This window comes from Homo sapiens, chromosome 4 (genome assembly GCF_000001405.40).
Source record: "Homo sapiens chromosome 4, GRCh38.p14 Primary Assembly".
Taxonomy (NCBI): domain Eukaryota; kingdom Metazoa; phylum Chordata; class Mammalia; order Primates; family Hominidae; genus Homo; species Homo sapiens.
Genome location: NC_000004.12, coordinates 153,593,036 through 153,620,113, shown reverse-complemented (window position 1 = coordinate 153,620,113; position 27,078 = coordinate 153,593,036). Strand labels below are relative to the sequence as shown.

The following is a 27,078-nucleotide window of genomic DNA, read 5'->3' as shown; positions in this document are numbered from 1 at the left end:
GGGAGAGGGATTCCCTTTGCCCTTTCAAACTATGAAGTAGCTCAAGTCTTTAACATATTCTAATCCTTATTATTCTTCTTCCTTCCACATGTTGCCCTCTTAAAACAGAGACACTGTCAGTGGGTGGGCGGTGGTGGTAGCTCACACACTGAGACCCAAGGGCTTAAAAGACACAACTCTTCAGTGTGTTAGGTCCTTTCAGGAGGAAGATAAATCTTCTCCAGGCACCTCACAGAGGCAAATTCCCTAGATCCAGAAGAGTCCCCTTCCTACTGACTGAAGGATTCACACTTCATGGAAAGCAAAGATTGGCTCATTTTACCTTCTCTTTCAGAAGGTTGGCCCAGCAATCAGAGTAGGAATTGTGAAGTTGAAACATACACTCAACTAACACGAATAACTTGGAAGGAGAAAAAGGTTTTAGGTAACCTGCAATACCTACAAGTTCTATGTCTGAGATATTAGAACCCTTATGCATCTATTAAAGCAATGTGCACACCACAGTAAATAAAAACTAGAAGCAAAATGGGATTTGTAACTGCGTAGGCAGTGGGATTATGACATTTTTTATTTCTCCTTTATACACCTTTGTTTCCCCCAATAAGTATGTATTAACCTTTTTCTGATTCTGAAGGTATTTTAAAAACCTGACAAGTTAAGCATACAAAGCCCTATTGTACAGGACCTTATGCTAATTGCTTAAGTTTGAAGCTAAACTGAAGGATATGCAGACTCGGGATTTAATGTTAAACAGACATGCACCACATTTCTTCATGTATTGTTCCTTTGTGTCTTTCTAACTTGGTGGGGAGGTTTCCCACCCCCGTCCACTCAAGGGCCAGCAAAGGCTTGTCGACACAGCAAGTACTTGAGCCTATCCATCCCTCCAAGGTCAGGTACAAATAAAAAATCAGTCTCTCAGTGGGGTCTGAGAAAGCGTGAGCTGGTAAGCAGTCACTGATACTTGGCTGCCTTTCTCAAATCCATCTGGTTGGAACTGTCATCCTGTGCAAGCGAAAGGGTGAGTACATTCAGGACTACTGAGAGGCGGGACTCGGTGACCAGAAGCATCAAAGAGTTCTCCGTGAGTATGACAAAGAAAAGGGGAATGCAGGACAAGCTAGATTCAGAGGCGTGAGACATATCCCAGAAAGAGTGGCAGGGAGCACCTTCTGAAGCACTGGGCAGTGAGGAGGGATGTGGCTGAGAAAGAACAGGCCTGCAATGGAGACAGCAGGTAGAACAGGGAGGGAAAGTGAGCCAGAGCACACAGCAACAGACTTGTCAAGAAATCCGAGGAAGAGCAAAGCACCACCTGCCTGCTTTCTGGTGCAGAGGATCCCAGAGAGAGAAGGACAGGACTAACCAGGAAACTGAAGAGTCACATGGAGCTGCAATTAGGAGTATATCTCGGAGGCTAAACTGCCTAGTTTCAATCTCGTGCCTTGATTACTGGCTGTGTAACCTTGGGCAAGTTACTTAGCCTCTCTGCCTCAGTTTCCCGAGTCATCCTCAAAGCATTGTGTGGACTAAATTACCTAGCATCTCATAAGCCATTTAAATGAGACTTAGTTATCGTCATCATTATTATTGAGTTATTTGGAGGTTTTTTTGGTGGGTTTTTTTTTTTTTTTTTTGGAGACAGGGTCTTGCTCTGTTGCTCAGGCTAGAGTGCAGTGAGGCAATCATTGTTCACTGCTGCCTCAACCTCCCAGGCTCAAGCAACCGCCTACCTCAGCCTCCTGAGTAGCTGACACTACAGGCAAGTGCCACCATGCCCAGCTATTTTTTTTTTATTTTCTGCAGAGATGGGGTCTTGCTGTGTTGCCCAGACTGGTCTTGAACTCCTGGGTTCAAGAGATTCTCCTGCGTCAGCTGAACTATTTGAACTAGTTACGTTTGCTGATCTCTCTGATAGAGGTGATGATTTCACAGATGGCAGTGTGGAGAAACATTTCCTAAGCTTTACTAAAAGCAAAGGAAGAAATCAAAGAAGAGAAATCACAAACTTACTGCAAAAGTCATTCTTAAAGCCACTCACTGTGTATAAGTAAAATCAAATAAGCAATAACTAAGTTTGCTTAGTTTCTTAGCAAACTAAGAAAAATCTCTGATACACAATATTTGATAGAGTTGATATCTTTAACACAGAAAGTGCTCTTACAGAGAATAAAACATTCAAAAGAAAAATGGGCAAAGGACATGAAATATAAATTCATGAAACAAATGCAAAAGCAAAAAAAAAAAAAACCACGAAGAGCTCGTCTAAAATATTCCATCATAAAATAATGTTTTTAGAAAAGGTGAATTATAGACTACCTTGTGTCTCCTCTTTCCATTTTGGTTTTAGAAAACACAAATGTGTTTATGATGCATAAGCACTAGGAAATGGCTGGGGAAGCAGGATCCTGTTCACTGTGTCTGCCTCTGAAGTGTGGAAGCAGAACTAGGTTAGACATTTACCTCTACATTTCCAGAACTTCTTTTCAGTGGTAGCATTTTGGATGGATAGTTTTTTTTGTGTTTTTCAGCCTTCTACAAAAAATGAAGGAAAATGCTCACCTTTCCCTAGTAAGAAAACCAAAACACAACTGCTCACCTATCACACTGACTAAGATTTTGCAAACAATTTTTGCCGCACAGAGGAGAATGAAAGTAGCATTCTCAGACATGACATGTGAACAAATTGTTACCAACTTTCTGGAAAGCAATCTGTCAGCACACATAGGAGCTTTACACAGTTGATCCCTGTATTAGTTCGTTTTCACGCTGCTGATAAAGACATACCTAAGACTGGGCAATTTACAAAAGAAAGAGGTTTACTGGACTCACAGTTCCATGTGGCTAGGGAGGCCTCACAATCATGGCAGAAGGTGAAAGGCAGGTCTCACATGGCAGCAGACAAGAGAAGGGAGCTTGTGCAGGGAAACTCCCATTTTTAAAACCATCAGATCTCGTGAGACTTACTATCACGAGAACAGCACAGGAAAATCCCACCCCCATAATTCAACCACCTCCCATAGGGTTCCTCCCATGACATGTGGGAATTGTAGAAGTTACAATTCAAGATGAGATTTGGGTAGGGACACAGACAAACCATATCAATACCCTTTCATTCTATTTTTTGACATCTATAACAAAGACTTACCAGGTACACAGGTAAGAGGAACAAAATTGTTCATCACAGACTTATTTATGAAAGTAAAAAGTTGGAAACAATCTTAATGTCCAACTGCAGGAGAATGGTTTAAATTATGGCACAGTTAAATGATGAAATGTTATGTAACCACTGAAAACAAAGCTCCCCATTTAATTTTTATAGAAAATTTAGTTATAATCTTATGGCAAAGCTACAGACAATAATAATTATCTTAACTATTTTAAGATAATAGTTTTTAAAAATCTGCATAGAAAAGAATACAAAAATGTTAAAAGTGGTTTATTCTGGATAGATCTTCTTCTACCTTATTCTTTATGCTTCTATAATAATCATGAATTACTTTTCTAAGGGAAAAAAGTCTGCTTAAAAGAAAATAAAAAGCCAAAGCTAGGGTTAAAATTTAGTTTGCGGATTCCAAACCTGGGCTTCAACCTTCCTTGCCAATAAATCCAGAGGAATGTTCCACGTGTATTATACAGACAGATTTATACAATTTTGTAAGCTGCAAAATTAGGCTCTAAGAATGTGCAAGAAAAACAAACACTGGGCACTGCACTTGAGAATGTACTTATTAAGAATGATTTTCGCCAAATGAACAATGAAATGGAAAGTATTAATACACTCAAGGGATTTTAAAGAACAGCTCTACAAAACAAGGAGTGAGTCACAGAGACAGGAAAGAAATGACAAACCACTGCCCGCAAATCTGCACCAGAGAATCCACCTTGGTTGACTTGGTTGGGGACAACCTTGGGCCACAAAGTACAGCCTATGCCATCCACATCCCTCAGATGGGCCTGTCTCCTGTGAACCCAATGCCACCATTAGATGCAGACGTCTGTCCTACACAGGTTTACAGACCAAACAAGGAGGGAGGGTCTTATATAACCACTGAGACCGACAGCAAGAACCGCCTTGAGCTCTAGGGACAGAGGTAAACGGCAAGACCCATGCCCTCAGGGATCTAATGGTAAAGACACACAGAAGAAAATAACTTGAAGAAATTAAGAAAACTGCCATAACCAAGGGCACAGCTAAGCCTGGCACAGAGAGCCAGGAAGACTTCAGTACTGGGAGGAGAGTTTGAAATAGGCGATGGCACCCATGCATGTGGCAGGTGGAGGCCAGTGGCAGCACCATTATTCCTTAGGGCCATCTTAGGTTGAAGGGACCTTGGGATAATCCATTCCAGCCTCTCCTCCCAGCACACAACGCTATGTATCTGCTGGAGTCAGTGCATGGCAGCATCAGTTTCTACTTCATTGCAGGGCAACAGGTAAGACTCCAAAGCCCATATCAAAAGGATGTTAAGTTCAACTCCTAACTTCATTCATTCCCACCTATCCCAAATTCAATGACTATTTCTGCTCCTGAAAGTGTGCCCTATCCTCACCTTTAGGCCTAGCTTTTTGTATACTTGCTATACCTGCACCCTCAGCCAGTCTGCAAATTCAACACTGCCTCCTCCCCAAAGTTTGAACTCAAGGCCCTCGCCTTTTCTCTGTGCACACCTCACAGACTCCATGTCCAACCACCACATGGGTAACGCCCAAACCTCAAGCTCCAGGCCTAACTTGTTGCCGAAGCTCTAGTTCCCCACCTCCCACTGTCTACTACACATCTCTCTTCAATGTTCAGCCATCCCTCTCTGTTGGTAGGAATCATTATTATACCTATCACTTTGAGACTTACTGCTTGTCAATACTTTGTAAGTGCTGCCATTCTAAGGTAATTCTCAATTAGCCCATTTAATCTTCACAACTCTTTGAGGTAGGTATACAATTATCATCCTTATTTTGCAGAAGGAGAAAAATGCAATGTTAAATAACTAACCGAATATTATAGAATGAATACATGATGATGCAGATTCAAACCCAGAAGAAGCCTGGCTGTAAAGTGCATGCTCTTAACGTGATAACAGCATTGCTTTGACAGACATAAAAATGAGCTCATCACCCCCATCAGAATTCCCCATTCTAGTCACCCAGGCTTGGAACCTTGGAGCTATCTTTTGTAAATGGCCATGTGAAAAAATGACTCCTCTCCTGTATGCATTTAGTGCTAAGAAGTCCTGATGGTTTTCTCTTCTAAAATGTCTCTTATCTACTTTCCTATCCTTTACTCCTGCTCAAATGTAAGCCTTGATTACATCATATCTCCCCGCAGAGTAACAGCCTCTTTGTTAGAAAAGAGCTGGTATCCACTTCTTCCCTCTCTAATTCAATTGCCAAAACATTGAGAATGATCTTCCAATAATGTCTTATATTCACATTCATTCAAGCATTTATTCAACTACACTGATTCTACGTAACAGGCATCCTGACAGTCTTTATAAAAATGAATTGAACAACATCCAATTATTACCTTCATTCAGGAAGATCACAGTCCACAGGTTGCTTTCAATTTGTTAACCACTGTCCACCCCGCCGCCCCCCACCAACTCAGAAACCTTCAATAGCTCCCCCAAATCTGCAGAAAGGTGCCAAAGCAGCAATCGTCAGGCCAAATCCTCCAAAACAACTTTTTGTTTGGCCAAATGTGCTTTTAACAAATTTGATTCTGAAATTCCTTAGCAGGCAACAATTCAGTTCTCTACGGATACCACCACCTTCCTATTGCTTTCACTTAGCCTATGTCACCATTTGTGCTTCCCATCAAGACCTAGGGAAGAAAGTCTGAACTTTCAATCAGCATTCAATGGCCTTCCGACCTAGGAGGACTCTGACCCCTCCCTCCCATTACTTCCCCAAAGGTAGCTTCTTCCAAGTCGGATGGCTCCCTAACTGCACCCAATTATGCCTCAATGGTTCCTCTACCTGCAGGGCTCAGTGCTGCCCGCTGCCCATCTTCCCTTCCCTGTTCTTCCACATGCTACCTGCACAAGTTTCCACCTCCTCTGGGAGCTTTCCACGGCACCCTGGCCTACACAGACTTTTCAATCTCTGAAGTCCCCTCTACTATGAATCTTGGTGTTTGGTTACACAGAAACCTCTTGTCTTTCCAAACAGACTGTAAATTCGTAGTTTGGACTGCTTGCAACATACTTATTTTGTATCATTTCTACTTTATTTGAATCAAAAAACTCATGCTTGTTATAAAGTTTTAATAAAAGAGAAGAAAATAAAGAAGGAAAAAGAAATAATCCAAAATCCCACCACTCAGAAATAACTAGGGTCTCCCATTAATTACTTTGCAAACCTCATTTGTGAGTATTTTTCTATGAGCCTACACACATGAAAGAACGGCAGTACAGATGATGGGAATAATTTATAACACTAGGAATATATATAATTTTTAACTAAAAATGTAAGGGTCAATTTTATATAAATTTAACATAAGAAAAATAAACCAAAGTAGAACCAAGGGAACTGTCAAGTTTCAAATAATTATTTCTTCAATACATACAATATTAATTCCCTAAGGATCTCTCTAAGGTTAAGAAAAAGACTGTAAAAATGTTTTCTTAAGTTATCACCCTTTTAAACTACACGTTTCATGTTTTCATAGAACTGGCTCTCTACTGAGAAAGATTAAAATTAAAATTTATTTTCACCTACCTCTCAATCCCACCTCCTGGTTTTTGCAGATTATATTACTATTTTTACTTGGTTAAAATTTCAATTTTCCAATCTGTTCTGTGGTTATAATTGCCAAATTTTTAGTCTTCATTCTGGATATAAAATGGATTGAAACCTCAACAAGAGACCTTTATTATGCCTTCTTCCATCTGCGTGTTTATTTGAACTTCTATCTTGCTTGGATAAATTTCGTTAACTTGATTTTACAAGAACAGCTTATGATTTCATTTGTATTTAAGGATGTCTGCCTGTTGCCTTTGTACTTGAGTATTAACTTGGCTGGATGCAATATTCTTTGTTTACATTTCCATTCTCTCAATGATACTGCTCCACTGTTTCCTGGTGTTAGATGTTCCTATTGAAAAGTCTGAGGCAAGCTTAAGTTTGTACTTCTTGATTTTTCTGTCTATGCACAACTCTTTATATTTGAAGTTCAATTAATTTAACTAAGTGCCTATTCCCATTATGATGTATCAATTTTTCCTGTTGTACACATTGTCCCCTTTTGATCTGCAAAGTTAGTTCTTCCCTCATATCAGGAAAATTTTCTTCTATTATATCATGAATCCTTTTCTCATCTTTTAGACAGAAGACGATAATAGATATGAGGACAAAGACAGACAAAAAGCAATACAACTCAGCAAGAGTATGCCCTAAAATATAGATGTTCAGTAATAACTAGATAGAAGGAATATGTTAGTCAAGTTCTACTCTGCCATCATTACCTAGGAATGACCCATTTGCTTAAGAACAGATTCTCTTCAGAGTAAAAGCTATCTGGTTTCTCTAAAAATTACTGTAGTAACGTCTATATAATTAGAAGGTAAATAAAATTCTCTGAACACACACACATCAAACTCACCAGTTATTAATATGGATTCAAATGCAGTGAAACATATGAAATACACATATTCACTTAATACACAGTCCTAAAAATGGATTTTGTTTTTAATAGGCAAGAAAAAAAATACAGACCTCTACGAAAGGTATGTCCTGTTTCTCAGAAAACATGTCTTCTCTAGATGTTTTGTGAATCTTCTTTTCTGAAGAAGGCTTTGTGTCCACCTTCTTCAAATTTTCACAATGATCTACTTCATTCTTGACAGGTACTTGCTGGTTATTCCCTTTAATAAACAAAAACAATTCAATTTCTAGCTAATAGTTTCCACTCACATTCCCCATCTTCTTTCCTACACCAAACATCTAATTTGACTTCATGAGAGTTAAATTAAATTTAGCATTGTTTTTAACATCCATGATGCTCTAGAAATTTATTTTGTTCATAGATGAAAGTATACTTATATTAAGAGTTCTACAAAAAGTCTTTAAAAGAGGTCAAGGGAAAAAGGTGGGGGGGGACACCAATATTCACAGCATCATTATTCATAATAACCAGAAGGTGGGAAAATGCCAAGTGTCCATTGACGGATAAATGGATAAACAAAATATGGTATATACATACAACAGAATACCATTCAGCATGACTCATTGCACAACAATGTGAAATACTTAAAACTACTGAACTGTACGGTTAAGATGGTCAAGATGGTTTTTTCAAAAAAGGAATGAAAGTCTGGCACATGCTACAACATGGATGAACCTTGAAGACATCATGCTAAGTGAACTTAGCCAGATATGAAAGGACAAATGTTTTATGATTCCACCCATGAGGGAGCTAGAGTAATCGAATTCATAGAGACAGAAAGTAGACTGGTGGTTAACAGGGGCTGGGGAAAGGAGATAATGGGTATTTATTATGTAATGGGTGCAGATTTACTGTCTGAGATTATTAAAACTTCTGGAAATGGAAAAGGATATGGACAGTGGTGATGGCTGCACAACTATGTGAATATACTTAATGCCACTGCATTTGATAATTTAAAATGGTTAAAATAAGTTTTCTGTGATGTATATTTTATATATACATGTTTTTAAGCTGGCAAAGAGGCAGAGAAGGATAAAGACTTGGATTCTGGTCACGACAGCCACTAATTAGTTTTACAGTCAAAGTTAAGTCTCTTAAGCTGCCTGTGCCTTAGTTTTCTTATTTATAAAATGAACACAACCCCAGCTTCCTTGCCTCTCTTGTTTGACAGTTGTAAAGATGAAAACAGAACAGATACAAACGTAAAGCATCCCCACCAAAGGACACATGACTGTTTCATGGAAGGTCCTCCCTGCTACAGTGAATGCCCGCCCTGCCCCTGTGGAGCAGCCAATCGGCAGAGGAGCCAACAGCTGATTAATCAGATGGCAAAAGTGGGTGCTGGGAGGAACCTTTTCTGAAAATATGTTTTCTTCCATTTTTCTTTTAAGTGATTTCATAAGTATACTTCTTCTATCTCTTATCCCACAATAAAGGCAAATGAACTTCAACCCCACAATAACTGGCCTGTTTTCTAATTTGAAACGATGTATTTCAGTACCTTCTTCTTTTTTCTTGAACTAAGAATCCCTAACAATACCTTTGAAATTTGAGACGTCTAGATGACCATAGGGCAGAGCAAATATTTCCCAGCAAAGCAGACTGCAGGCTCTGGTAGGATGGACATCTAACCAGATTACCAGCAGAGGCTCCAATCCAGCCCTTCTGTGGGACTTGAGGCAGGGCAGGTCTCTCACCCACAGAAGGAAAGGAGCAGTCAAGTCCCCTCTGATTCTGAAATTCTGAGGCTACAAATTAAACTCACTCAAAGCAAGATACATAAAGTTTTCAAATAACACTTACCAGGTAAACATACTTTTATTTGGTTAACAGAAAATTATATAAATATTATGTAACCATAAAAATGCCAGGCAAGCAAATGGCACACACCTTGTAAAGTAATGCAGGCTTTTACGGTTTAAGTACAACCAGGACATATTAGGTCTTATACTTTCAGAAAAAGGGGCTCTATCCCAAAATTAAGGTTATATTCTCCAAATGTCACAAAATGAATACAGAAAATAATCCTTTGGCCAGACTCATTACATAAATAAAATAAAGCATCATGGCATGTTTTTAATGCTTTTGGCTGTGATGGAAATACAATGGCCAAAGTCATATCCAGAGACAAAGCTGATCACTATCAACTGCTTCCTTTAATAACCGGGAATAACTTAGAATTAGTGAAGATCTGAATCAAAGGCTACTAATGCTATTTCCCGGGAATTTCTGTCTCTATAGGACAGTCAACTATTTGCCTAGAGGGTTTAGATCAACTTCATTTAGAGGACTGCTGGGACACAACTTTCAGATCCCTTTCAAACCTGTGCATTTCCGAACCAAGAGCATCTAACAGCAGCCCTGTGGAATCATCATTACCCTCCATTTCCTACCTTGTCAAAATTAAAAGTCATTCTTTAGGACAGATCACCTTTGAAATTTAATTCCTTCTAAAACACAAACTGGCGGTTAGATATCCACAAAGGAAAACATCAAGCACTATGAAACAGTAAAGCAGACAGCCAAAAGCAAGGCAGACAGGGTCCGTACCAGAAAAAGAAAGCATAAGAAGAATATCCCTTTGGATTCTGGAAGCCATAAGTATGAAATACAATACAGATATTTGCCTCAAAAAAATAGGTGCCATTACTCTCCTGGTGTCCTAATTTGTGAGAAAATGGATTTCCTTAAGTTTTCTTCAGGCCAAGAATATAGTACTAAAAGTATTAGTCATCAAAGTTTCTTAGGAAGGATCCAAATTTAATAGCCAGTACAAAACCATCCCCAAAAAGTAATAATGTGCAGACTTTTAGAAAATCAGTAATGCCTTCTATGGGGCCAAGAATCAGGACAAACAATAAAATGAATGTTAACAACAAGTTCTGCAGTGACTCTGAGAAATTCTAACATGAAAGCATTCAAGAATATGGGATACCAAACACATACGTCATTTACAAATGGGGTCAATCCATGCAATATGGTTTGGTTCTGTGTCCCCACCCAAATCTCATGTCAAATTGTAATCCTCAATGTTGGAGGAGGGGCCTGGTGGGAGGTGACTGGATCATGGGGGCTGACTTCTCCCTGGCTGTTCTCATGATAGTGAGAGAGTTCTCACGAGATTTAGTTGTTTAAAAGTGTGTAGCACTTCCCCCTTCACTCTCTCTTCCTCCTGCTCCCACCATGCAAGACGTGCTTGCTTCCCCTTTACCCCTCCACCATAACTGTGTTTCCTAAGGTCTCCCCAGAAGCAGAAGCCTGTACAGCCCACAGAACTGTGAGCCAATTAAACCTCTTTATAAATTATCCAGTCTCTGGTATTTCTTTATGGCAGTGAAAAACAGCCTAATACACCAAGTCATCCTATTAAGTGTGCAACTTCCCCATGACCTCACTGAGTAAGAGTGTACCACAGTTAAAAATCAAAAACAAATGGAAAGAACACTAATAATAATAAAGGGGGCAGGAGAAGACGTTGGGAGGTGCACATGTTAATGCCCTTCACGGTGGTAATGGTTTCACGATGTACACTTATTCCCAAACTCATCAAGATGCATACATTAAGTATGTACAGCTTTATAGGTCAGTAATTCCTTTTAAAAGTGGTTAAAAAACAGAAACAAATGGAAGAACAAGACACAAGTGATCTCCTCAGTAACCTGCTTAAAGTTGTACTGTCTCAAATCTAATCACAATCACGTGGTCTGTTTTGAATAAACCATTAAATCTTCATTTCAAGTTAATAGTATCTGTAAGTAAATAGGAACATTTTTGGAATTTCTGCAAATACCAATAATTTCAGAAAGGTGAGGAATGTAATTCAGTGAAAACTTTCAGGTACTGTTAAGCTCAAGGCTTGAGCTATTATCAAATTTAATTATACCTTTACATTATTACAGGTAGAAACCCGTGAAATAATTTGCTCACTATTTCTCCTTGGTAGTGCTGCGGCCAACCATAGCTTGTCTTTAGCCATAACTCTAATCTACATTATTTTGATCAGACAGTGAAAATGGTTACAAACATTTAAAAAGAGCTATATTCACAAGATCATTTACATTACACATAAAGCCCCACTCTTGTCAGATGACCAAGAGGTTCTGGAACGTATAACGAATGTTTGACAAGTTTAACTGTTTGATAGTTGTTTGACAAGTTGATGCCAAAAAACAAGTGTAGAAAAACAGAGCCCTAAAGAATGTCAGCAGACTTTATTTCTATTGAGAATTTTAATTAATTATTTACTACAGGCCTCTCCGAAGCAGGCAGGGGAAATGGAGTAGAAAAGGGACACATTTTTTTTTTCATTTTTTGTTTTTGCTTTTATTTTTGAGACAGGGTCTCACTCATTGCCCAGGCTGGAGTGCGGTGGCACAATCACAGCTCACTGCAGCCTTGACCTCCTGGGTTCAAGTGATTCTCCCACCTCAGCCTCCCAAGTAGCTGGGACCACAGGCCCATGCTCATGTACCACCATGCCTGGCTACATTTGGCTACTATACATATACATATACTTCTTTGGGTAGAGATGGAGTTTCACCAGGTTGCCCAGGCTGGCCTGGAACTCCTGGGCTCAAGTGATCTGCCCATCACGGCCTCCCAAATATGACACATTTTCTATTACTTACAAAATATTATGTTTCTTGATGGCAAGTATGTAGTCAAAGCCATTCATACATACCCTAGAACATTTTCTTCTCACACAATAAGCTACACCCGGGGGTGGGGGGAAGCCTCAGAATAGGAGAAGGCAGATTATTCAGGTGCCTCCAGGAGTTCTGATAGTTAGGAAAATCACTTAAGGTATTCTTAAGAGGCGGGACTGTCCCCACCTTTCCCTTTTTCCCTTTAAAGGCAATCTTATGACTAGAATGGTTTCTACAGACCATTTGTATACTTTGGGAGAAATGGCTAAAATGTGGCAAACACACTGAGTGAGTTCCCATTCTGCTGGAATCCTAACTGCCAGTCACACAGGAGACAACGTGACTGGCACTTAGGATTCTCAGCTATCAGGCAGGTTGAGTCCAGCTCAAAGACCAAGCTGTTTTCTTCAGATTCTAGAAAAGATCTTACAATGGAAACAGCACACATTTCACAAAGTAAAATACTTTTCAAAGCTAGCAAAGAACTAATGCTCAAAGCTGGAAGTAAAAACTTAAAGGTTCTTATATATATGCTTTTCTCATTCTCAAGCATTCTTTGCACTTGTGACTTACCTGTCAATTATACGCGTTTATCATTTGCCAAGTTATTGCAATGCTTTCCTCTGAAATTCAACAGAGCCCCAAACCCTTAATATTACTAAAAAAACTCCAAACCCTCCCTTCAGACTATAATTATCTTTCCCTAGATTTTTCAGTCCTTTCTTATTTTTAATATTTAAAATTCTTGAACAATTTTAAATTGTACATGGATAGCAGGCAATTTATTCACTTTTTAACATCTCGGATATTTTCCCAGGACAGTGCTGTGAACATAAAACAGTCAGAACAAAATGCATGTCCATGTACAAACTTCCCTGGGAGGAATCTCCTGCTAACATATAACTTCTGCAGACACGTAGAGGACTGTGAATTAGCACCTCTGAATTTGCTGGTCTGAACATGGTGGAAAGCAAAAGTTCTTTCCTCAGCTCTTACTTGATCTGATCAACAATCACTCTGGTACCACTTAACATGCTGCTGATCCAGCCAAACAGTATTTTTAAATTCTGGCAGTGAAAGATTTGTTGCCATTTAAAACATTATAAGCATACTAGTAATCTGTACAGGAAGGAAAGATTCTGGGCAGGTTTACCATCTACAATGATACAGGCAAACTCTATGTTTCCAGACTCCCATATTAAATTTACTCACGCTTATTAAAGTGTTATTACCTGCTCATCTTGGCTCAGCTATTGGCATTGAATGTCAAGTACTAGACAGGAGGATCCTGAAGAAGAATTCAAATCCTCTGACCTACTCTGACACTACATTTCTCATCCATGCCTTTATATTTCAACTGCTTTAAAGTATTAAGATATAGAAGGTCCCTCCCATCCATCTACCACACTGCCACGGGCATTGCATCTTGCAGGCACATATCTCTTGTGGGCACAAGCGATCACAGAAGAAGCACTTCTGGAGGGAGGATTCCCTCAACTCTAATTTCAAGTGTGTGCAAAGTCATCCTATGTCAAAGACTGTGCTCAAGCCTAAAAGACTCACGTAACAGGGGAAATGTCCAACAGGACTCACTCCATAATTCACCTTTTCACAAATGTTTTGTATTCTAGACCCCAGAGAGTGTCTGGGAGAGAAACAGAATAAGACACCCAATCACCCCATCATAATACATCCACAGACAAGGTATGCCATGGTTTGATTTGAAGATCTGGGTGAACTGCATTACCAGGGGGCATACTCACACGCCAGGTGGAGGAGACAGGGCACAGTGTCCACCCTGCAGACATAAGTCCACTTCAGGCGTGTGCACCACTGCCAGGGGAAACGGTACAAACGGGTTGGACTAAATGCACCAAGAATGCATGTGTGCAGCTGCCTAGACCACATTCCCCTCAGAGGACTCCAACTTTCTTTTAAATTAGAAATGTCCTTATACAGAACATTTAAAATTCAGTTGAGGATTTTCACCAAATGCATAAAAGCTCATCAGAAGTAGTCAATCCATAATATTTCTGTACCTCTTCTCCAATATCAAGAAGTGAAAAAGATGAAGTTATATTTAGATGCTTCAAATAAGACAAAAGGTGACTGAGTTTTCCAGATTAAAAATTGTCAAAAATCTGACCATAGGCTGGGAGCAGTGGCTCACGCTTGTAATCCCAGCATTTTAGGAGGCCAAGGCAGGCAGATTGCTCGAGCTCAGCCTGGCTAACATGGTGAAACCCCATCTCTACAAAACAGTACAAAAATTAGTTGGGCATGATGGCATGTGCCCGTAGTCCCAGCTACTCAGGAGGCTGGGATGGGAAAATGGCTTGAGCCCCGGAGGTGGAGGTTGCAGTGAGCCAAGATTGCGCCACTGCAGTCCAACCTGGGTGATAGAGCCAGACCTTATTTCAAACAAAATAAAACAAATCTGACTATAACAGGTACAGAAATACGTATATTCAAATGGTCAGGGTGGACAAAAAAAGAAAATAAATAAGCACAGGCCCTTATGCTAGAGGCCAAAGGGATCTATTAAAGGATAATGACAATTCCCAATGGAGGTCATCCTCCTAGTCTACTTTGGCTTGTATTTTCCTTAACTGTTTTTGGTACATGAGAACATCTGTCTTCTTTTAACCAAGGAATACAATTAGAGAAGAACCAGGGCCAGGCAACCTGAGATGGTGGCAGCTGTTAAATAAAATAGCTGAAGTTTTGTTCAGTCAGAAACATTTCATGGGCTGATTAATTTTTACAGATAGTCTGAAAATCTGAGCTAAAAAAAATAATTTAGGCCAGGTTCGGTGGCTCACGCCTATAATCCCAGCACTTCTGGAGGCCAAAGGGGTGGATCACTTGAGGTCGGAGTCTGAGCCCAGCCTGGCCAACATGGTGAAACTTCGTCTCTACTAAAATTACAAAAATTAGCCAGGTGTGGTGGCACACACCTGTAATCCCAGCTACTCGAGAGACTGAGGCAAGAGAATCACTTGAACCCAGGAGGCGGAGGTCACAGTGAGCCAAGATCACACCACTGCACTCTAGCCTGGACGACAGAGCAAGACTCCATCTCAAATAAATAAATAAATAAAATTAGAAAAAGGTGTCCATGTCCATCCCAACAAGAAAATATGATATTCATAGTCTTCTAAACTTATGTACTAAAATTTAAACCTCTTAGTCACAACATTTTAAAAGCTTGATGTCTTGTCTTGAACTTTTCATTTTGTCTTTTTTCAATATTTAAACCTTTGCTAAAACTCAGCATCCACAATTAAAACTAACGGTCACAGGTGAGAACAATTCCATTAAAAACAGACTGGGTACAAACAGGAGAGAATTATCAAAGGGGATGAAAAGATTACCATTATTTTTCCTGGAAATTTCTGGCAAGTCTGGCTGGTGGTACTGAGGTGAGTTTCTTGGTAAATGGTTTTCAGGTAGTTTCTTGGAGGTCTTCAGTGGACAGAGCTCCCGTTCCTTGAACTCGGCTGTGTTCTCTGAAGTTTTAATGTCAGTTTCCTTAGGAAACATACATGTCTGTATTCCCTCCTTCATACTACATTCTGAAGAAGGATTACTGAAAACAATTGTGTTTTTCAGTGTGTTTTCTTCTTTATTCAGTAAGTTTTTGGGAAGGGTTAAATTCTTCTGCAGGTTGACATTTATGCCACTTGCATATCTGAGGCTGATCCAGTTCTCACGCATGGCATCAGTGCAAATGTCCTCTTTAGCAGCAGGCAGTGAGCTGCCCAGGGGTGAAGTCTGTTTTTCCTCAGTAGTCGTGCTGGTGCTGCTGGCCGCAGCTGTGCTGGTTTTGTGTTTACTGTAATACACTGAGCATTTGTGCTTCTTCTGAGAATGACCATAGGTGGCTGGGCTCCTCTTTGCAGCATTCTGGATCCTGCTTTGGGGAGTGTTCACTGGAAGGCAGTTCTTCCCCCTGCCTTTATCAGAGGGGCCATATGTATCGAGAAAGTTCTTGCAATTGCTTCTGAATTTAAGAAGAAAAACATTTAGCATAGAGGCAAATCAAATCAAACTCTACTTGTCTGCTTCCATATCCATGAGAAAAGGGTAGCAATCAGTACTGAGTGTAAGTTTTACCTTCCCTTCTTCCAAAGCTCCAAGAGTTTTCTGCCAATGAGAATACCCATCAACTAAGTCCTTGCATGGAGACTATCTCATAATAATAATGGGGCAGCTGTTCACATAATGACTTAAAATTTTATGAAAGCAAATGTAGAATCAAAATTTATGTTTACTTAAAATTAAATCAGAAATGAGTAATATCAAAAGTGAGAAACCGCCCCCGCTCCCAACCACACTATAAGAATTCTTACTTGTAAGAATGGGGGCTGATTACATCCATAGGACCATTGTTTTGCTGTGAAGAGGAGCTAGCATTTTGCCTCTGTCTTGTTTTCATGAATTCCATGAGAATGTACTGTGCTTGTTGGAAGGCTATTAAAATCACACCCAACAGGGACAAACTGAGGAAGAAAGCAACAAGGTTCAGTATTGCATGGTTCTGACTGGCATTCAAAAGACTAGTTTCATTACAGAAGAGTGGGGAATGATTTACGAAAAACATCTGAAGATGCAGTATTAAAATTCCCTAAGATTTATCACATAATTTCTGATGTTCCTTAAACACACACACAAAAGTTTCCAAAATTGTGCATATTTATAAATTTGACATTACAATTCCATTTTTATGAAATCACTCAAAAAGGGTCATTCCAGCCTCCTAATCTCAAATCATCACTGCATGAGCTAACACAAGTAATTAACATTCATATCATCCACCATGACTGCCTATGAACACACTATATATGGAGCACAACTGTCTATGATACTTCTAGGTCCTATGACTCTCTTACGATTAGTTTACTATAACCTTAAAGTGTACCAGTGAATACTTCATGGATGTCACAGTTCTTGAAGCAGTAACAATTCCACTCAATTCATATACTTTGACTACACTCGGGCAGTTCACGTTTTCACACAACTTGCCTGGATGACTTCTCTACTCAGTGAGAGAACAAGGGAGACAGTAGTGGTTTACCTGACAAAGAAGACCGTGAGCCTCCAAAATGACTCCTCCCAGCTGGGTCCTGGAACCACGTCTGCACACAAGGGCAACAGGTGATGAGGGAGAGTCACATTGAGAGTGAAGCGAAATTCTAGGTCCGCTGCGGTTACAAGACTTAGGTCCCGAATTACCCAGGAGGAGGTAAAGTCTGGAGTGAACCTGAAAATAAAAGAGTCATCTTTATGAACTTTTAATTGTTTTGATTTTAGCCACAAGGCAAAATAATGACAACACATCATACTCCTACAAAAGAAATATTTACATTAAAACAACATAAGATGTCTTAACAATAGAAAAAGTTTTCCTCCTCACATTGTTAAACGCACCACAAAACTGAAATCAAGTTAAAGCCCAATGCTTACACAATGCTGATATCGCGGGATGTGTTTGGGTCCAGGGAAAACTGATGACAATCCAGCACCTCGAATCCATAACCTTGGCAGTTATACCCATTAATTTTCAGAGACGAAACAGTTATAGGAAGAGGTCCAATATTCTCAACTTTAAAGTTCTTTGTAATAGATAAAATTTGCTTACTGTCTTTCAGTTCTAATGGGAACCAAAAAAAGATATTTAGTATATGTGAACTATAAAATTTATTTAAAATAATTTATTGGATCGATATTTATTGAATAAACCAAACCATGATCTACATTACTAAAATGCGAAAAAAATCCAACATAAGCTCAAAGAATGATTTCTACCTAATTTCTAGAACAATTATAGATTCTGTTCTAGGATATAACAGAGATACTTAAGTAGGCAAGACTTTTCTTACATGAAATGCTCTACCAAGATACAAAAAGTAACTAAAATCTCTTCTTTGGTCCCTTTACTTGTTAAAGGTTAAGGTTAAAAGTTGGTTCTTCTCAAAAGTCAAATAGTTTGATTTACTTACTATAAGCCACCATATGCCCCATGCCCTGTAATTCTCACTCACATTGAACCAGGCACCAGTTAAGAGGATGTATAAGTGCTTCTGTATAAATCCATCACAGCTGCTAGAAACACAGTTCAAACATGTGCTATACTATTATGAGAACACATTTTATACTGAGTTTGAAAAAAGAAAGATTATGACAATTTTTAAATATCCTTGTGAATTTATAACACACAATCTATCCCACATAAGGACTAATATTTTATCTGGTTCTACAGGTGTTTGTTTGTTTTAGACACAGGGTCTCACTCTGTTGCCCAGGCTGGAGTATAGTGGTGAGATCATAGCTCACTGCAGCCTTGAACTCCTGGACTCCAACAATCCTCTGACCTTAGCCTCCCAAGTAGCTAGGACTACAGGCACACTCCACCACAGCCAGGTAATTAATTTTTTGTAGAGATGGGGCTCACTATGTTGCCCAGGCTGGCCTTGAACTCCTGGGCTCAAGCAATCCTCCAACCTCAGAAACCTAAAGTGCTGGGATTACAGGCATGAGCTATGGCGACAGGTCTGGTTCTATAGTTTTTATATTACTTCTTAATTCTATCATTCAAAGTCAATTCTAAATAACTGAATGAATAAATGGAATAATAAATATTGTAAAGAAGAATTCGGAATGTAAAATTACTAACAAATCTTTTTTTTTTTTTTTTGAGACAGTCTTGTTCTGTCACCCAGGCTGGAGTGCAGTGATACAATCTCAGCTCACTGCAAACTCTACCTTCCAGTTTCAAGCAATTCTCTTGCCTCAGCCTCCCAAGTAGCTGGGATTACAGGCATGTGCCACCACGCCCAGCTAATTTTGTATTTTTAGTAGAGACAGGGCTTCACCACGTTGGCCAGGCTGGCCTCAAACTTCTGGTCACAAGTGATCCGTCTGCCTCATGCTCCCAAAGTGCTGGGATTATAGGCATAAGCCACCATGCCTGGCCTCTAATAAATCTTTTCAAACTCAGTGCCCATTTAGTATAGTTTTCTAAAACAAACAAACAAAAATCTGCTCAGCCATTAAAATAGTCCTGCAAATTATCCAATGGTTTCACCAGCCAGGTTTCTCTGTAGAAAACATAGTTACACTAAAATGCTTTCTGTGTTTTTATAAAATTAAAAATAGTAATAGGAAAATAAGAATTCACTAAAAGCATTTTACATTGTTTATTTCTGTTTCAGTTCCTGAGGAAGTTGCTGAAACTAACATAAGTAGTTTAAAGGCATTTCGTTTAAATACATGCATAATTTTAAAATTTTCCAGTGCAACATGTTAATGTATTTCTAAATCTGCACTGTCTGTTACAGTAGCCATTAGACACATGCAGCTATTTAAACTAAATTTCAAATCAATTTCATCAGTCACACCAGTTATTTTTATTTTTGATGTTTTTTTTTTTTTTTCTGAGACAGGGTCTCACTCTGTCACCCACGCTGGAGTGCAGTGGCATGATCGTAGCTCACTGCAGACCAGCTCTCCTGGGCTCAATCAATCCTCCCACCTCTGCCTCCTGACTAACTGGGACTACAGGCATCTGCCACCATGCCTAGCTAATTTTCTCTTATTCTTAGCAGAGATGAGGTCTTGCTTTGTTGCCCAGGCTGGTCTCAAATTCCTGAGCTCAAGAAATCTTTCCACCTTGGACTCCCAAAGTGCTGGGATTATAGGCGTGAGCCACCACACCCAGCAACTAGTTATTTTTAAAGATTTATTTTTTTCTTTTTCCTTTTTTGAGACGAAGTCTTCACTCTTGTCGTCCAGGCTGGAGTACACCGGCACGATCTTGGCTCACTGCAACCTCCGCCTCCTGGGTTCAAGAGATTCTCCTCTCTCAGCCTCCCAAGTGACACCATGCCTGACTAATTTTTGTATTTTTAGTAGAGAAGGGGTTTCACCATGCTGGCCAGGCTGGTCTCGAACTCCTGACCTCAGGTGATCCACCTGCCTCAACCTCCCATAGTGCTGGGATTACAGGCATAAGCCACCATGCTCGGCCATTTTAAAAGACTTCTTAACCACATGTGGCTAGTGGCTGTCTTGGAGGACACAGATACAGAATATTTTCATCATCACAAAAAGTGCTATTGGTTAGCACACTTTTGATGTTTTCTCCAGTCATCATTTCAGTGATTTTCTGTGGTTAAGTAACTGACAGCCAAATTAACTGCTTCATGTATTTATTTTAAATATTTAACAGTACTCTGATAATTTAGCAATTACACAATCTTTTTTCCCTCTGTATCTTTTTTGTTTGTTTTAGAGAAGGGGTCTTGCTGTGTTGCTCAGGTTGGCCTAAAACTCCTAAGCTCAAGTGATTCTCCCACCCTAGCCTCTTGAGTAGCTGGGACTACAGGTGCTGATATGGTTTGGATCTGCGTCCTCACCAAAATCTCATGTTCAATTCTAATCCCCAATGTTGGAGGTGGGACCTGATGGGAGGTCAATGGATCATGGCGGTGGTCTCTCATGGTTTAGCACCCTCCCCCGACTCCCGCAATGCTGTCACTGTGATAGTGAGTTGTCGTGAGATCTGGTTGTTTAAAAGTGTGTGACACCTTCTCCCCTCTCGTGCTCCTGCTTTAGCTATGTAAGATGTGCCTGCTTTCCCTTCATCATCTGTCATAATTGTAAGTTTCCTGAGGCTTCCTCAGAAGCTGAGCGGATGCCAGCATCATGCTTCCTACACAACCTGCAGAGCCATGAGCCAATTAAAACTCTTGTTCATAAATTACCCAGTTTCAGGAATTTCTTTACAGCAATATGAGAACAGACTAATAAAGGCCTGCACCACTATCTAACTTATGTCTATTATCTAAGTTGAGTTAAATATCTAAAGATACCACTCTAATCCAGGGGTACCAGCCTATATATGCACAAATGTTTGCCTAATTATTTGCATCAATACAATGAATTTACTATAAATTTTTAGAATTTAAAAATTTAAAATTTTAGAATTTAAAATTTAGAATTTATAGAATCCTTTCACTCTCAGCTTTAATGCCAACCTCCCCTGTCAGAGTGCCACACATATGAACTCACGTCTACGGCAGTCCATCAGCGTGGACTCGGGCACCTTAAATCGGAGTGAGCCTCCTGCACCAGGAAGTCTTCCACCCACTTTTAATAACTCTCTTGCTCCAAATCCTTCCACGCCAATCATGTCAATAACAGTCAAGTTATTCCTGTAGTGAAAGGAAATAGATATAAAAAGGCATTACATGGAGTCACAAGGTACAATGTACTTAAATTTAAATATTCCCAGTTATCAAGAATATTTTTAAACTTTTTTGAAGTTTTAAAAAAGAAAATCAATTTAAATAGTGTGGTATCTTCTTCCATCTCACAGAATAAGGGTGCAGCCACAGGCAAGAAAAGCTGCCACTGCCAAGTACCAAAGTGAGCTGACTGCAGCAAGAACATGTAAACAATGATGACCCCCTTCCAACCACAGCCCACACATGTAGCCTCATATATTTTTCTAATAACTAGAAACCAGGGTAGTGATCAGACATTCAAGAAAAAAAAAAACTGAAGAAATAAACTGGGGGACACAGACAAACACTAACAAATTTAGACAAAATGATAAAACTTATTTACAGGGTGAATTAAGGTGTTTTCATAGTAATCGTAAGAAATTCTGCCTTAGGGATGATACTAGACGTAAAATTCTACTGTTTCTTTTGAAGTGAAGATTTAAAATATTACCCCATAAATAACATGTATCTAGTCAGGTTTTTATCAAATAGTAATTCAGACTAGCATGTGTCTTTTCATTAGTTGAAATTCCAGGACAAAAAGGTGGAAATTATTTTTTTTTAAATTTTTATTTATTTACCTAGGAGATAGGATGTTGCTCTGCCACTCAGGCTGGGGTGCAGTGGCATGATCACGGCTCACTGCAGCCTCAACCTCCCAGGCTCACGCAATCCTCCTACCTCAGCCTCCCAAGTAGCTGGGACAACAGGCAAGCATCACCATGCCCAGCTAATACTTTGTATTTTTGTAGGGACGAGGTTTCACCACATTGCCCAGGCTGGTCTCGAACTCCTGGGCTCAGGTGATCTGTCCACCTCAGCCTCCCAAAGTGCTGAGATTCCAGGCATAAGCCACTACACCTGGCCTGGAAATGATTTTTAAATGATGCATATTGGAGTGAAAGCCACTCCTCATAATGTAAATACTATAGAAGCAGCAAGATAATTCATTTTACTTTTGTAATTATATAGAATACACTGAAATAGCTTTACATCTTTAAAGGATTAAAAAGCCTTTATTAACCATTTAAAAACCTTTAAGTGCTGGGGCAATAGATGACTGATGTTATTTACAGGACAGAAACCACCGAAAGTAAATTAATTTCTACAAAAAATTTAGACTTTCTTTTCAAGCCTGAGATAGTTCAACCTGGGATGAAATAAAGTTTGTCTCTGTACTTCCTAGGACCTTAGTTCTTCAAAGAAGAGTCGGTTTAAATGAAACACTAAATCAAAAAAAAAAATTAATTAAAAAAAGAAAAAAATTAATAAACAAAAAAAGAAACACTAAGTCAACAGGGCATTAAGTATTTTTAGTTAAAATGCTTAATGAATAAACTCTGAAGAACTTTAACTTTTTTTAGTATCATTCATTTGCAAAAGAACAAACTTATATATTAAAGAAAATTCTGAATAATAAATTTTTTGCCAGGTGATCTGATACTACAAGTTTTGAAAAAATAACTCAAATGTCATTTATTAAAAATTAAATTTGTGTTGGACTTCTCACTGATGAGGAGAGCTTCAAGATACATCTGTATTTACTGTAAATTTTTAAAAGACTCTCAAGACTACCTAAAGATGAAAACAATTAAAAAATAAACACATTAAGCATGCTTAAATCAGTCAGCAGTAACTCACTTCAAAGGAAGAAAAGGAATAAAAAGAGCCAATGGGCTCAATGAAACACCTTTTCTATTGTCCTTTGGGCTACTGAGAATTCCAGGAGCAAAAAAGAGATGAAAGTGATATAAGTTTGTTCAAATACTAAAGACTGAAAATATCTACAGCAGTCCTTTAACGATCTTTCTATGCTAAGGACAGAGGAGTAGATCTGCATGAGTGTGTTCTGCCTTTTGAGACAGCACAGACGAGAAGCTGTGTGGAAAGCACTACCTCTCCTGGAGACATGCACGCACACTCCCTATTGGAGAAGAGAGGAGACTGAGGCCTTGGGGATTACTTGTCAAGCCTCCAGTGACCTCTTTCTCAGCTTCCACTTCTTCCTACCCCGCAACACAGCCTTCATCCTGAAGGTCTGACTGAGAAGTGAACGTCAACTATCAGCTAAAGAGATTTACACAGATGAGTCATTGAGAAAGAAACAGATTCTACAACAGGAACACACCTACCGGATTAGTATGAGTGAGGTAACTTTTCCATAGTCAGCAGGTGTGAAAACTACGCCAACCCTTTTCATTTCCAAAGGCTGCAGATGTAAGTGGAGGATGCCAAACCTGGATTCCTCAGAATGCGTACCCTGCAAATTAACAAATTAAACCATGTCATACTCCTAGAAAGCAAGCTTCCATTGTCATTAAGTGCATCCTAGAGTTTAAACACGATTGCTTCTCTTTTAATGTCCAGATTTGATCCTCCTAATCAACCTGTTAGAACTTGCTTATCCTGAGAGTTCACTCCAATAAACAGCTTCTGAGCCATAGCTAAGAAATATAGGCAGAGACTACAAGACAACCTCACACAGATGCTGGAGAGGGGATTTGCTTCCTGGTTTGAATGGAAGTTGGGGCTAGAAGCTTTCTACACAAAGATGCTTTGAATGTACAACATCAATCAGAAAACAGACCCAACAGCCTCTGCTTGAATGCTAGAGCAATCTGACAAGACCACTCACCCACCACTGGACAACCCAAAGATCTCTTTATATAAATTCTTTATACTGAATTTAAGTTTATATAGAAATCATCTTTATTATATTTAGTATCTCCAGTCAGAAGAAAGATCTTTATTTATTCACATCTTCCTCTATTTTCTCCAAGATGTCGTGTTTTTTTTTTTTTTTGGCATAAAACTTGTGCTCTAAGTTTAGTATCCAAGGTTTAATTCTTTTTATCTTTTTGGTAAGTGGACTTTCCCTCTTTCCACTGCTTTTTCTAGCTCCATCTCACTAAAAACAATGCAATGTATCACTTCTTAGAGCTAATATATAATCCTGAAGAATATTATTTCTCTTTGTTTTTAACTTTTAATTTTATGTTTCAGTTATTGCTAGTGTTACCCATGCCATCTGAAAAAGAGAATAGTAATAGTATTTGATTATTTGATTCATTTTTATTAGAATTATAAACTCCATGAAGGAAGAAACCCTGCTTTACGCAGGTAATATGAATACTGAATTTAAAAGCTGCTGACTTTTGGTGTTAAACTTATAGTAAAAACAGCACCTCTATTAAATGGTTCTTATATGCCAGGCACTGACATTTTTAGGGTATATAAAAAACTCCAATGTTCTTAACCCAAGGAACTATATTTCTAAAAGCAAATCAGCAAAATCAAAATGCAGGAAGCCTTTCTTTACATGATGAAGAATTCTAATAACAATTCTGAGTTAAATTTTAACTCAGTGTTTTCAAGGCACTGATATTAACTATTCTTTTCATCAATGTAATAAATTAACAATAGTAATAATTTCTCTTATCCCAAAATATATAATATTTCTTGGGAAAAACAGTCATAGATAAAAACTTCTTCCAAATGAGTTACATCATTTGTTCACATCTAAATAGAATATTTAGATTTAAAATAAACGGGCATTATTTTTGGAATTTCAAGCTATACATGATTCAATACCAGTGAGGCAAGATATCACTTAGTATTTTGGACTAATTATCCTGAATAGCCTTGAAGACCTCCTGGTGGAGAAAATGAGAAGGAGAGAGAGGGGCAGACTCGCTAACAAGAATAAAACCACACCTGGGTGCACGGCTTCACCACTCCCCCCAACTCGCCCAGTGCTGCCTCAACACTTAAGAAAAGAAAGGAGAGTCTGTGGTAATGGGTTATCTGTGGTCTCCCTCCTTCTGTTATTGAAAGTAATCTAGAGCCAACAGTATATTTTTGGAGGGATAAAGATAAAGAAAGAAGAAAATACCCAAGGCGCTTAAATATAGTGTAGTAAAAATAGAGTTATCCGCATATGTGAGTTTACATGTGTATGTATGTATTTTTTGTCAACAGATGCTCCACTTTTGAATTGATCTCAAACACAGAATACCTGTAAGGCCAACACTCAGCTGTATATAAATAGCCACGGAATGACTGAGTGGAAACTGAGAAGTAAGGCTGCCAAGTCCCCAGGCAAATAGCATCTTCACCACATGACATGTTTACTCCTACTCCTAAGTATTTGGGCAAGACCTCATGACTGCCCACAGGCTTAAGAATTTTAGAGTAGTCCTTTTTTATAGATAAGGTAAACATCACAGAAATTGGGTGACTTGCTAAAAACAGGAACACAGTTTAGTAAGAGAAGATTTTTTTTAATGTATTTGTTTTTCCTTATCTTGCCCTAAAAAAGAATTTGAGGGCCAAGGAATCTTAAGAGAATTATAAATTCTGGGGTCTCAAGTTTCATGGTTTTCTACAAAGCTCTGTTCAACTGTTATTTCTTTACTCACATGATTCTAAATAATCAAATTAAAATGATTTAGAGCTAACATAAACCCAGCTCCTACCGCACTAGTTAACTGGAAAAATCTGCTATGTATCGTTAATGCCCAGAGAATCAAAATAAAAGAGCCATATATAGTAAATAAAAGACATTTTAAACATAAATCAATGAGGCCCGTATGCTCATGTGTCTAGTTTGTCGGCATTCTTTTTTCTGTTTTAGGATAACATCCTACCAGGTAAGGGCAAGCTTCGGTGAGCTGGAATTCACCAGTTGTGAAATTAATCATCTGCATATCAGTGCCAAACCTATAAGGAAAAAAGCAAATGTTTAAAACAGCACTCACATCTGCCAGTAAAGAAAGATTTAATAAGTGTGTGCACATATATACATTTATACATAGGTGAGTACATTTGCACACACATACACACAAAATTCATCCCATCCTGTCCACCCGACATTCCACCCCACATTCCCACCCAGCTCCACCCCACATTCCCACACCCATATCTGCCATATTGTCAATGATCAATAAATATTGCTAAATGAATGACTTTGGCATCACAGGATGTAAGGAAGCATATGGTGACAGAAGCTCTAAATATAAAGCAACTTTTTTGAAAAAAAAAGTGACTCTCAACCAAAGGCAATTTTATCCCACGGGAAACACTGGGCTACGTCTGGAGACATTTTTGGTTGTCACAGCTGGGGAGTTCCTACTGGCATCTAGTGGGAGAAGCCAGGAATGCTGCTAAACATCCTTCAACACACAAGATGGCTCCTCCCACCCCCACCAAACAGAATGGTAGAACCATCTGGTCCAAAATACCAATACTGCGAAAGCTGAGAAACCCTGGGATAAGGGTCGATCTTACTAAACGAGAAGCTGGAAACATTCTAAGTAAAACTGTGATTGTGTGAAAATAAGATATAACAGACATGAACTAATTATCATCTCTTCCTGTTTAATGCTAGACAAGAATATACATTCAGCCCTCTGCATCTGCAGGTTCCAAACCTGCAGGTTCAACCAACCGCAGGTGGAGAACCCTCAAATAAGGAGGGCCAATT

General features: G+C 39.0%; 1 protein-coding gene across 42 annotated transcripts in view; it reads right to left on the bottom strand.

Moving 5' to 3' along the window:
• TMEM131L (transmembrane 131 like) overlaps positions 1-27,078 on the bottom strand; it is a 170,352-nt gene that overhangs the window by 16,598 nt on the left and 126,676 nt on the right. For all 42 annotated transcript variants that reach the window (XM_047449899.1, XM_011531780.2, XM_047449901.1 and 39 more), the window contains 8 exons: positions 26,243-26,315; positions 23,729-23,856; positions 21,382-21,524; positions 17,776-17,962; positions 17,387-17,572; positions 16,662-16,811; positions 15,684-16,312; positions 7,714-7,862 (listed from right to left, as the gene is read on the bottom strand). In XM_047449899.1, coding sequence (XP_047305855.1) covers positions 7,714-7,862; positions 15,684-16,312; positions 16,662-16,811; positions 17,387-17,572; positions 17,776-17,962; positions 21,382-21,524; positions 23,729-23,856; positions 26,243-26,315 — 1,645 coding nt within the window. The remainder of the gene's footprint in view (positions 1-7,713; positions 7,863-15,683; positions 16,313-16,661; positions 16,812-17,386; positions 17,573-17,775; positions 17,963-21,381; positions 21,525-23,728; positions 23,857-26,242; positions 26,316-27,078) is intronic.